We start from the raw sequence: 12,832 nt of genomic DNA, 5'->3' as shown, positions 1-12,832 counted from the left end.
CTTGGTGCCGTCCCGATGGCAATGACTGAATTCTTGCTCTGAGTTTATGGGAGATCTGGTTGTTTAAAGGGGTTGGCACATCCTCCTCCCTCTCTTGCTCTTTCTCTCACCATGTGATGTACCTGCTTCCCTTTCACCTTCTGCCATGATTGGAAGCTTCCTGAGGCCTCCCCAGGAGCAGATGCTGGTGCCATGCTTGTACAGCCTGCAGAACTGTGAGCCAATTAAACCTCTCTTCTATAAATAACCAGCCTCAGGTATTCCTTTATAGCAACGCAGATGGACTGACACATATCTTTAATGTCATTTCTTAGTTGTTCCATCCTTTGACCTGCTTCCTGGAATAAGCGTATGATGGTTGGAGCTATTCTTGTCACCTTGAACCTTGAGGATTAGGCTTCTACCCTGTGGATAGCAGAATGTCCTCTGGAAGGAAATGAAAGTCCCTAACGCCACCCTAGACTGACAACCTCCAGTTTTGTTTTTACTTTTTTATTTTTTGAGACAGAGTCTTGTCCTGTTGCCCAGGCTGGAATGCAATGGCGTGATCTCAGCTCACTGCAACTTCCGCTTCCTGGATTCAAGTGATTCTCATGCCTCAGCCTCCCGAATAGCTGGGATTACAGGTGCGTGCCACCATATTCAGCTAATTTTTTAAATTTTTAGTAGAGACAGGGTTTCACCACGTTGAGCAGGCTAGTGTCGAACTCATGACCTCAAGTGAAACACTCACCTCAGCCTCGCAAAGTGCTGGGATTACAGGCGTGAGCCTCTGTGCCCGGCCCAGTCTTGGTTATTATGAGATAAACTTCTGTCTTGGCTGAAGTTAAATCACTGATAGGTGATATAACCATAACTGGATAAAAAGTAGGAAATTCATGTAATACTTATATCTACATATGCCCATACCAAAAATGATAGTGATCTGTTGTTATCTATGTGTAAATATGGACACAAAATATTGTTTAGTGTAAACAAAGCTCTTCTTTTTTTTTTTTTTTTGAGACAGAGTCTCACTCTGTTATGCAGGCTGGAGTGCAATGGTGAGATCTCGGCTCACTGCACCCTCCGCCTCCTGGGTTCAAACAATTCTCCTGCCTCAGCCTTCCGAGTAGCTGAGATTACAGGCACATGCACCACATCCAGCTATTTTTTGTATTTTTAGTAGAGCTGGGGTTTCACCATGTTGTCCAAGCTGGTCTCAAACTCCTGACCTTCAGTGATCCGCCTGTCTTGGCTGCCAAAATGCTGTGATTACAGGCATGAACCACTGCACCTGGCCCATAAAGCTTTATTCTATTTTAATGAAGCAAAAATGCATAAGTGTGTAAGTGTGATCATATGTGTGTGTATGTCTAACAGGAGCACTCCATAGCAAAATGCGAATACTGCTTATCTTTGGTGTTGGAATCAATCACGCGTGATTTAAAATCTTGTTTTCTTCTATTTTTAAAAACTTTCAAAATGAATCATGACTTTGATTATTAGAAAAGAAATCTATAATAATTGAGAGGAAAGAAAACCCCACCTGTTGTTGAAACTGGCTGGAGCTGGGAGAAATGAGAGGTTCCTTTGCAGGTGTCACCTCCCTACCAGAAAAGTGGCCTTGCAGGACTGTCCCACAAGCCAGACTTGCCTCTTTCCCCTGGTCCCTGTACCTGGTGTGAGGTCGCACAGACAGTGAGCGTCCTTCACAGAGTCTGATCTGCCAAGGTGGGGGGAAGTGGGGGTTTAGTGACATTCAAAACCCGGGGGAGCCGAACAGGTGTGACTGTACATTTGCAGGGTGACCTCTCCCCTCAAAGAGCAAGAAATAACTCTAGTGCAATTTCCAAACATTTACAAGAGAGGATTTTTAAACTTTTCACTTCTTTATTCCAACTAGCACATTTGGAAGCACAAAATGCACAAAGAAGACCTGCTATTTACAATCACTTTTACTAAGTCAGCGTTATATTCAAAAACAGCAGATAAAGCTCATGGCTTTGATGAAAGGGGCAGTCTTTTCATTGGAAACAATTAATACTGTTCCCCGTTCTGGGGAGAATTTAAAGAAAATAATTTGGAAGGGGATATGGCTTGATACAATCAAATGATTTCAGATCACAAATGTAATCATTTGATCTTGCTTTAAAACCAAACATTTCAGAACAATCTAGCATCACATTCTCTTCTGAGTCTGTGAAACTCTGAATTCTGGGTGAGTCTGAATTCCCAAGGCAGGACTGAGGATAGAAAAGATTTGATGGCAGAAACCTGGTACTGTGGTTATCACGTGGGTTAAAGATGTAGGCTTGGTTAACCCACTGAACCTGCTTATGTATGAGGCTCACCTGAGAAGGTGATATGGACAAGCCCATCTTATGGGTCTGAGGGCTCTTCACCAGGAGTGGAGCAAGGAGGATGGCCCCAGCGTCCCCGTCTCTGAACACGTTTAGCGGGAGGGCTGTAGAGCCTGGACAGATCACCACTGGCTCCATGGGGAACTTTCAGCAGCACTCATTGCCTGTGTCTGTTCTGTGCCAGGCACTGCGCTCAGGGCAGGGATTTGGGATTCACCAGGGCACAAGGCGACGTGCGTCTGTCCTCACGGAGCCTAAGTGCTGGTGGAGACGGACAGTGCAGATGCCAACCGCAAATGACGAGGCACTTGCAGGTAGGGGTCAGCGCCAAGAAGGAAATGAAGGGTGCGTGTCGCTGACTGAGGCTCTGGTGGGGGCTACTTAAATAGGGCCAAGGGGGAGGGCTTCTCTGAGGAGGTGACATTTGAGCTGAGGCCTCACCAATCAGAAGGAAAAAGCTGTAAAGGGTCTGGGATTAACTCAACCTGGGGACTTTTAAAATAATGTAAGGTGTTACAGCTCTTTCAGAATTTGTCTAGCACGTTTTCCGGTTGTCACTCCCAGGTAGGCTGGGGAAGAGGCATCTGTGCCCAGCTCGTGGCCTGTTCTTTGCACTTGGTGGGGGGGTTCCTATCTCCCACAGCTTTTCCCCCCGGGGCCTGCTCCCAGGTGGGGTCAGGTTTTCACCAGAAAGCCTCCATGAAAAAAAAAAATTAATTTGAACTAGTTGCCAACATTTGCATTTTAATTCTAAAAATCTGTATTTTCGACTTCGTTGGAAAGTCAGACTATCTGGCCACGGTGGGCTGGGATCTGGTGGATTTCGGTAGTTTGGTTTCTGGTTAGGGAGGGTATTTGGGGTTTGCCCCTCCAGCATCTGTTCCAGTGTGGAGTGGGGATGGGGGCAGGCTCAGTGGGGGGAACTGCAGTGGCCAAGGGTCTCGGCTATCTCCAGACGGCCGGATGGACTCTGCCACCTCCTGCTTGGGGTGGGCTGGGGTTCTTTGCTGCCCCTCCTCCCAGCCCACATCCTCTTGAACTCCACGGAGACCACCTCCATGTGAGGCTGGGAAGGGAAACCTGCCTTTGTAAGTGGAATCAGGTGAAATGGGGCTGTGACTGTGTCAGTCAGAAACTAAAAGGCCCTGTCACACCCGTGGCCAGGAAGACTGTCACCACGGTGGCATGCAAATGACAGAGATGCGTGGGACAGCGTCTGCCAAGAGACGAGCCAGGTAAGGGCAGGTCGTCATGAAGGAGGGAGGTGGGGTCCTCCCCACAGAGCAGCGCCATCCCACAGAGAAACGGCCCCTGGGGAGGGACGCGTTCCAAGGAGGCCCCGTGCAGTGCAGAGTGGGTGGCTCGAGGCCTGAATGCCGGGCACTCGGAGCGGTCAGTGTCCCCGTGGGAGCAGGGCTGCTCGCAGCCAGGTGATTGGGGTCCTTGGATGGTCAGCCCCTGTGTGCGTGTGAGGGGGTGGCCCTCTCCTCTGTCTCTTCTGAAGGCAGCAGTAAAGGAGGGAGGCCAAAGAGCTCAGTGTCAGACGAGCCTGGGTGCAGGTCCCACTGCCTGCCAGGCCAGTGCCTCTGAGCCTCAGTTTCCTCATCTGTATAGTGGGGTTAATCCCAACCATGTATACTGTCTGCCTGCCATGTGCCAAGCCCTTCTAACACACCTTTGATTGCTTGAGGGCAGGGACTTTATTATCCACCTTTAGAGTTGAGAAAGAAGAGGCACAGAAAGGTTAAACCGCTTACCGGGGGTCACACAGCTGCTATGGCAGAGTAAAGACTCCAGACTCAAATGGAGCACTAAGCCCCGCCCTGGGTGCCAACAGGTGCTCCAGGAATGTCCAGTGCCATTTATCACCCTCATCACCTGCTGGGAGCGCTCCTCCCATCGTGCAAACCCCATGAGCGTGAAGTGAGGGGACACGTGCAGGATCGAGTGTACTGGCGTGTAACTTAAGTAAAGTAATAACCACAGGATGATATTCACAACCCATATTAGTGCTACCAACAGCCGCATCTGCCTGCTTCTCTGGGCCCAGGATTGTCCGCAAGCTCCCAGGAGCTGGTCCTAGGTGGGTGAGAAGAAGGGTCTGAGGTTATGGGAAGGAGCAGCTTGCCCAGCTCATGGCCTGTTCCGTGCATTGGGAGTCCCTGCCCCCAACAGCTGTCCCCCAGGGCCTGCTCCCAGGTGGGCTCAAGAGGCCACAGGCCTAAGCAGCTTCAGGCCAGGGTTCTGCCGGGTGCTGTGTGCCTGTGGGAGTGACACCCCCACCCCCAATCTTCCTGCCCTGCCAGCTGCTGGACACACAGCAGCCACAGGGCACTAACCCTGAGACCAGGACCTCTGCAGGTCCCATGGCACAGAGCCCCCTCCTCCCTGCCTGACTGAGAAGGAGGAGGCGCGCCTCAGGGTGAATCCTGTCCCCCTGCTCACTGCAGGATAAATGGCCTTTGGGTCGAACACCTCACAACGGGATGTGTCTTAGCGTGGAGTTTATCAAGTCACAGGCTGTGATGCATTAGTGGGTCTTGAAATCAATTTAGAGTGTCAAGCCCGGCATTGAAAATCTGCAATAGACCAGAATAGACTAGGTCAGGAGGCATCAGAGTGCGTTGTGTGCAGCGAGGGTGAGTGCCGTTTGGGGAAACGTGCTGCGTTTCTGTATAAATGGATGTGCGTGTGTGTGCTGGGTGGCAGTTTGCAATGGGTTTCTTACGGTGGGTTGCACTAAAAACATTAGAGAATCTCTGTCTCACCGCCTTACGGTAACACAGAGGGGAATCACCTAGTTGTGATCATTTTCCTCAGAACCTTACATTTCCCTGATTTGAGACCGTTTATAAGACTGAGAAACAGGTCTAAGCTGGTGCCAAGAGTTTTGGTTACGTCAGGGATAAGGCTGTGGCTCTCTCATCCCACAGTCCATGCTGAGGGGTGGAGGGGAATTGAACTGCAGGACGAAGAAGTGATGAACATGCAAGAAATGAGACTGGGAAAGGGAGAGGCACAGAAGGCAAACAGAGGGAGAGGAAGGGACGTGGGGAGGGGTCTGTGACTGGGAGGGAGAGAAAGTGGGGGTCATTCCTGGAACTCCAGGAGCTGCTTTCCTGCATTGCTGAGTCAGTGCCACCTGGACTCAGAAACACTCATTGTGCATTCAGTGACCCTTTCAAGCTTAAGAGCTCTGTTAGGATCTGAAATGTGTCCAGTAGATCTTTAGAGCTATTCAATTTTCATCCCATGTGGGACCTGGACACCTGTGCATGCAAACTAACATGCTTACACATATACACACACAGATACACATGCCCACACACACTCATGCATCCATTTGCTCATCATACATATACACACATGCACATGTGTACAAACACATGCCCACGCACATATGTACACTCGTACATACACACACAGACACACTCATATGCACACACATAGACACACTTATATGTACACTCACACACATGCTCACTCCTACATGCACTCTCCCACACCCACACACGCCCACACACTCACAGACACAGTGAGTCAGGTGTATTTAATACGCAGTTCGTGCCTGTGCCTCCCTCTAAATCCCCATGTGACCTGCTCATCAGAGGAGGCCTGGAGTCCTGGGGGGAACCCTAGTGTCCCTCCACCTGATCTCTATGACAGCCCAGCCTGACGCCGGTTTGTGAGTGTGAAAGCTTCAGGGCCCACATGACCTCACACGTTAATTCATGCAGATCAGCTGTTCACTACTCAATGCTCCCATGTTATGTGAGGCAGCGAGGCACAAAATTGGCATCTCTTGTGGAGTATGTGTGTGTCTGTGTGTGTATGTGGTGAGCTTGGCACACAGGTAGGATGAGGTTTGGGGCAAAAGAGCATGAAAGATACAGCCAATAGTAATTGGATTACAGTTGTTGATTGCTTTCAAAGGACTTAACATAGAATATTCATCCCAAAGATATATTACATCTGGTGAATTCTAGAGCATCTCACAGATAGAATGGGGGTAAAAGGAGAAACAACACACTTGCAAATTTGATGAAATTTCCCACACGGTACTGAAATCACTGGTGGAATGGGGGATTGCAGTCCGGGTATGAGGCATTCGAGAGAATCTGAATGTGTCCCCCAAAGTGCTCCCCAGAGACTAGCACTGATCAGGCCGTGGAAAGCCCAAGGCCCCACACAACAGGTTCTGGGCTCTGCCTTCCTTGAACATGGCGGGTGGAGGGGCTGGGGAGAGAGGCAGAGGCTGAGAATGGCTGAAGACAAATGGTCGGATTCGGTTCTTTTATCCGTAGCAGGGACTCAAACCCAGGGTGTCCTGGCTGCTGGAAGGTTGAGCAATGCTGAGCTGTATTTCCACACATGGCTTCACTGGCTGAAGCAGGGCTGTCCTGTGGCTGAGAACCCCTCTTCCAGCCCTGCACAGGTCCCCTGATCCCCAGGCCTGCAGGCATTCACATACCCCCCTGCAAAGCCCCCAACCCTCCTTGGGCAAGGACAGGCACAGCTTCAGGACATCGTCCTCCTGCCCTATGTGGGCAGAGTTGAGCCCCCAGAGCTGAGAGGGAGGCTCCCCAATACCCATCTCCCCGATAATGGTCAGTGCTCCTCAAAGAGTCACTTCCAAAGAATGCCAGGTGGCAGGCACCAGGTTTTGGCATCTGATATGCTCCCATCCGCTCCCTGGGTCCAAAGCATTCATCCTTTGTAATCTCTGACAGGGAACAACTGGCTGCTGTCCTTTAATTAGCAGGGGACACACTAAGCTATGGTCTCCTGCAGGCTCCATAAACATCCATGAAATCAGCCTGGTGACTCCAAGCTCGGTGCAGACTGCAGGGACCCATAGTGGCCAAGGGGCCCCCACCCCCGGTCTGGCTCTCAGAACAGCCTCCAGGAGAAAATGCCAAGCCATCCGGACTCGTGGCAGCTGCTCAACCTGGCAAGTTCTTTCTTGCAAATTGAGATCCAGGCTGTGATCTGGGCTGGCTCTGCACATTCTGGTGCCTGTTATCTGCTGGTTGGAGCTGCCTGGACGCCTCTGAGGGCTGCTTGTGCGTGGGTGGGGGCTGCTTTTGAACACATGGCGGCCCCATCAGCCTCGCCTTCTCCACTTCTGGCCTTATTAAATGATGGTTATTGTAGGGAGGATGCAGGGCCAAGCATCCTCTTATGCAGCACCGTGAGATGCGGGGTGTCCAGTGTGCCAGGAGAAATTCAAGCCTCATTTCCCTCTGAGACACTGGGATGAGGCCACGTGCAGAGTCTCAGCGCCCGGATCGCAGGTGCGTTGTCTGAGTCTGTGCATGAGGTGCCAAGGCCTGGCCCTGGGCTGTGTGGGATGAGATTGAAGTGTGTCTGATGGGAGGGCCCAGGTCACACCCACTAGGGGCCAAGAGTACACAGATGTAGACGCCAGTGCCTGCCCAAGTCACCCAAAACGGAGAAAGGGAGGCTCTGGGAAGCCCTCGGGCCAGAGGCTGATGACGTGGCATCTTCGAGGGGACTGCCCGCTGCTCAGGGCAGAAGGGGACATCCTGATGCGGCACCTGTGATAGCCCCCCCACCGTTCCTGCCCCTCAGACCCACTGTCCCTGGAGACCTGCAGAGGGAATCCCCGCAGACGAGAAGGCATCTCTGTCACTTGCTTTGTCTCCCCTTGGTCACGGCAAACACATGCTCACAGCCCTCAGGTGACAAGCCTCTGTTTCTGCCCCCTTCTGATTCCTCTGCTCCACGGGTGTGGCCACTGCTCCTGGCTTGCAGTGTCTGTGCGGCTATGACAGCCCAGGTTCCTCTCAGGGCGGGTGTCCCTCCTGCAGAAAGCTCACCCTGTCTCCTGGGCCCCGGCCCTGCTCCTGAACAGAGGAGGGAAGGATTGGGGTGGTGGCTGATGAGTTCTCATGTGAAGGACTGGGGTGGTGGCTAATGGATTCTCATGTCACCTCTTTCCCATATTCCCCTGGGCTCTTCCTTCAGAGCCTCCACCCTGCACCCTGATGACTCACTGCGTCTCATGTAGGAAGTCCCCAATGACATCTCATGCCCTGTACACAGGTCCCTGCAGCCTGGGCCCCTCCCCAGCTCTGCTACCTCTGGCGGAAACCCCACTTTCACCCCTCCCTCCTTACATCTGGTGGGGATTGCAGGGGGCTTGTTGGAGGGAAGCTACATGTGAGACCCACATGATGCACCAACCCTCACTGTGCAGACCCCACCCCATCTATTTTCTTCTATCCCTTCTGCAGTCAACACAGCCCTGGCTGTGCATTTGGCCCTCTCTTCACGGGGCTGTGTCTGGGCAGATGGGGCTGGAAAACAACTCGCTGGGCCCAGCTGGGGTGTGTTGTGAATGTCACAGCCCGGCCTGTGCAACAGGAGGCTCCAGGATCCCTTTAGGGATAGGGCAGGGGGCGGGAGAGTGCAGGTTAAATGGGATGGGCAGGGGCAGGAAGGCAGCAGGGGTGATTAATTTTTCTCGAATCGTTGCCAGGCTACCTTTCAATTCCTTGTCTATGGCCCAGGCACAAAGAAAGCTGATGTTCTGCTGCCAACCTGGCTTGTCTTTTAATCATACCCTTTGCTTGTCAGTTTAGACACCTTGGTATACTCTCATTGCTTTTTAGCAATCTTTGCAACTTGCTGGACTTTTCCACCCAAATAGGAAGAGCAGATCATGTGTACTGTGTGTCAGGCACTGTGCTAAATGCATTAGCTATTTCAATCCTCACAATAGCCCTATGAGATGGGCACTATCATTATCCTTATTCTGTAGATGTGGAAATTAGCACAGAGAGGTTAATTAACTAGCCCAGAGTCACTCAGCTACTGAGTGGCAGAGCTGAGATTTGAACCTAGGCAGCCTGGCTTCAGGGCCTATGCTCTTAATCTCTCACTGTAGGGGCTCTTAAGTGAGTTTCCAGCTTCCATGGCTTCAGTTGAAGGGACTTCTCTGTGGAGGCAGGGCTAGGAGGAAGTTTATCCATGGGTCCTACAGCAGCCATCTAGAAGGATGGGATTGGTTGTGACTCAGACTCTACCCTTGCTTCTGCCTCTGCCGGGAGCTCTGTCCCCTGGCTCATCCCAGTATCTGCTCCTCCTCCCTCCTCAGGACTCAGGTACAGCATTGCAGAGGATGTTTGCTGAGCACTTGCTATCTGCCAGGCACTGTGCTAGGTGCAGGGGATCTTGCAACAAACAAAATTCCTGCTTTTATGAAGCAGACATTCAGTAAGTGGAGAAGGAGAAACAAATCAGTGAAAGGTACACATGTCAGCTGCTAATCCATGCTACAGGGAGACATTCAGCAGGCTTGGGGATAGGAAGCTCCAGGTATGTGGGAGGGTGTGTTAGCTTCCTGTGGTTGCTGTGACAAATCACCACCAACTTGATAGCTTCAAACAGCACAGATGGACTCTGTCCTAGCTCTGGAGGTCAGGAGTCTGCCGTCGGTTTTACTGGGCTAAGTCAAGGCGTCAGTAGGGCTGGCTCCTGCTAGAAGCGCTGAGGGCAGGATTCTTTGCGTTTTCAGTGTCTGTATTTTCTTTCTTTCTATTTCTTTCTTTCTTTCTTTCTTTTTTCTCTTTCTTTCTTTCTTTCTTTCTTTCTTTCTTTCTTTCTTTCTTTCTTTCTTTCTTTCTTTCTTTCTTTCTTTCTTTCCTTCTTTCTCCTCTCCTCTCCTTTCCTTTCCCTTCCTCCTGTCCTTCCTTCCTTCCTTCCTTCCTTCTTTTCTCTCTCTCTCTCTCTCTCCCCAACACCCCGCCCTGCCATCTTTCTTTGTCTCTTTCTTTTTTTTAGAGGCAGAATCTCACTCTATTGCCCAGGCTGCAGTGCAGTGGTCCAATCTTGGCTCACTGCAGCCTCTGCCTCCTGGGTTCAAGATATTCTTCTGCCTCAACTTCCCAAGTAGCTGGGACTACATGTGTGTGCACCATGTCCGGCTAATTTTTTTTGTGTTAGTAGAGATGGTATTTCACCATGTTGGCCTGGCTGGTCTCGAACTCCTGACCTCAAGTGATCCACCTGCCTCTGCCTCCCAAAGTGCTGGTCTGGCCTGTGTTTTCCTTTAAGCCCCTTGTATTCCTGGGCTCGCGGCCCCTTCCTCCATATTCAAGCACATGATTCCAGTCTCTGCCCTGTCACTATAGCTCCTCTGACTCAGACTCTCCTGCCTCCCTCTTATAAGGACCCCTGTGATTACACTGGGCCCAGCCAGGTCATCTAGAGTCATCTTTCTATCTCAAGATCCTTTACTTAATTACATCAGCAAAACCTCTTTGCAATGGACATATACACAGGTCCCAGGGGTTTGAATGTAGACATGTATGGGGGGCCCTTGTTCAACCCCCTATGGGGGGTGGTTGTTGATTTTCAGTAGGATGGTCAGGGAAGACCCCGCTGAGAAGCCACCATTTGAGCAAAGACCGGAGGAGCTGAGGCTGTGGGCCAGGATGACAAGGGTGGAGCCTTCCAGGCAAAAGAATAGTGAGTACAAAGCCAGCAACAGGTGTGCTGGCATGTTCCAGGAAAATCAGGGAGGGAGCCACAGCTGCGGCCGAGTGAGGAGAGGAGCAGCGGGAGGTGAGGTCAGAGAAGCCTTGGGGGCAGAAGCTGCGGGCCTCATGGTTATCATGAAGCTCGGGGTTTTACTCTGAGTATGTGGAAACCATGGAGAGTTCTGAGCAGAGGAAGCACAGGACCTGACCTGGGTTTCACAGGCTTCCTCTGGCTGCTGTGTGGAAAATAGGGAAAGCAAGAGTGGAAGAAGGGAGGCCTGTCAGGAAGCTTTTGCACAATGGCCTTGGTGAGAAAGATTCATGGCTTGGAGCAGATGCTGGGATGTGTCCCCCACATCCCCTTTCAGGAGCAGGCATGCATGCCCCACTGCCCAGGGGGTTGCCTGCTGAGAGCTCACAGCTGAGACCCTCCCCAGAAAATGCCCCTGGCTGACAGGAGCTGCTTTGCCCAGTCACCCTTCCTGGGGTCCCTCCATCTCCAAAGACTAGTAGTAAACACAGGGGTCTAAAGGTCCAGCCCCTTGACTCGATTCATCACAGCTCTGAAGGGCCGTCTTTGCTGCAGACTTCCTCAAAGGATGGATTGCAAAGTCATGCGTAGAGTGTGCAGGGCTCAGGTGACTATCTATATGTCTGTCTATATTTTAGGATCCCTGTCTATATGAGCAATTTGTTAAAATATATATTTCAAAATTCCTGAGCCCACATGAAATCTATTGATGTATCCACAAAGGTGTAGAATAATGGATAGAGAAGGGGTACTTATGTGGTTTATTGTCCAACAGATTGTGTGAAAGTTTTTTGTCATGTCCAAGCAGCACCTCCTTCTGGTCAGGCCCACGTTATATACGAGAACAATGGAACAAGTCGAAGACAAAGCAACACGTCCCCCTGTAAAAACTGTCAGTGTAACTGTCCACTTCCGTATCTGTCCAGTCACTTAACAAATATTGACAGACCATCTTTAAACACAGGCTGCTGTGCTGGTGTCTGGGACACAGCGGTGAGTAAGAGCCGTAAGAGCCATCTGATCTCATGACACTCTCAGGAAGTTCCAGTCTATGAGGATGGACAGCATGCAGGTCAACACATAAACATCATTCAGACTGTGAAAGATACAATAAAGGACACAGATTGGGAGATGGGATAAAGAGTCATGGGGGTGGAGCTACTGTCTCATTTTGGGTGGTCTGGGAAGGCCTCTCTGAGGAGGTGACATGTGGGCTGAGTCCTGAAGGATAAGAAGGGGCTGCCATGGGTGATTTGAGGGAACAGCACACTAGGTGGAAGGAACAGCAAGTGCAAAGGCCAGAGATCAGGAGGATCAGAGATGGGGACAGAGTATCTAAGAAATTGGGAGAGTGGTAAGAGATGGGGATGTAGAGACACTGTCAGGTGAGATAGGGAAGGGAGCCAGGTGTGGTGGCTGACACCTGTAATCCACCAGCCTGGGCAATGTGGCGAGACTTCATGTCTTAAAAAAAAAAAAAAGCCAGATGTGGTGGCACATGCCTGTGGTCCCAGCTACTGAGGAGGCAGGAGGATCATCTGAGCCTGGAAGGTTGAGGCTGCAGTGAGTCAAGATCATGCCCCTGTAATCCAGCCTGGGTGGGTGACAGAACAAGAACCTGTGTCCAAAAAAAAAAAAAAAAAAGGAAAAAAAAGGGAAGAGAATGTCACATTGCAATGACAGTGTTTTGTTTCATTTAAACAATTTTCTCTCCCTTTTGAGTCCAGCCTGACACTCAGGAGACGGAGAGAGCCTTCCGCTCATTCTGCCTCAGGAGGAGCTCGAACCTGCTCCCTTAAATCTCCATCAGCTCCGGCAAGCCCTTGGGCTCTGCTGGCTGTAACGCTGCTCCCTGTTTACCAGAGGCTTTTGCTGGCACATTAAATGTATCACTCATACCCTGAACTAGATCGAGCCACAGAAAGCTTTGATTCATGGAGCTGCTGGTCCCCGTT

At 51.0% G+C, this 12,832-nt stretch overlaps 1 pseudogene, besides 4 other annotated features; it reads left to right on the top strand.

Moving 5' to 3' along the window:
• RNU7-144P (RNA, U7 small nuclear 144 pseudogene) lies at positions 2,851–2,926 on the top strand (annotated as a pseudogene).
• Positions 6,304–6,989: an enhancer, noted in NCBI's record as "H3K4me1 hESC enhancer chr20:47118417-47119102 (GRCh37/hg19 assembly coordinates)". NCBI's record gives its function as "activates a minimal SCP1, AML or CMV promoter by ChIP-STARR-seq in naive H9 embryonic stem cells {active_cell/tissue: H9 hESC(naive)}" and the evidence as "EXISTENCE:reporter gene assay evidence [ECO:0000049][PMID:30033119]".
• Positions 7,610–7,810: a silencer, noted in NCBI's record as "peak4239 fragment used in MPRA reporter construct". NCBI's record gives its function as "represses an SCP1 promoter by STARR-seq MPRAs in K562 erythroleukemia cells {active_cell/tissue: K562}" and the evidence as "EXISTENCE:reporter gene assay evidence [ECO:0000049][PMID:32103011]".
• Positions 7,821–7,920: an enhancer, noted in NCBI's record as "active region_18021". NCBI's record gives its function as "activates an Ori minimal core promoter by ATAC-STARR-seq in GM12878 lymphoblastoid cells {active_cell/tissue: GM12878}" and the evidence as "EXISTENCE:reporter gene assay evidence [ECO:0000049][PMID:35858748]".
• Positions 8,321–8,450: an enhancer, noted in NCBI's record as "active region_18020". NCBI's record gives its function as "activates an Ori minimal core promoter by ATAC-STARR-seq in GM12878 lymphoblastoid cells {active_cell/tissue: GM12878}" and the evidence as "EXISTENCE:reporter gene assay evidence [ECO:0000049][PMID:35858748]".

The sequence above is a fragment of the Homo sapiens genome, chromosome 20 (assembly GCF_000001405.40).
Source record: "Homo sapiens chromosome 20, GRCh38.p14 Primary Assembly".
Taxonomy (NCBI): Eukaryota; Metazoa; Chordata; class Mammalia; order Primates; family Hominidae; genus Homo; species Homo sapiens.
The sequence above is the reverse complement of the archived record's forward strand: the minus strand, read 5'-3'. Positions and strand labels throughout refer to the sequence as shown.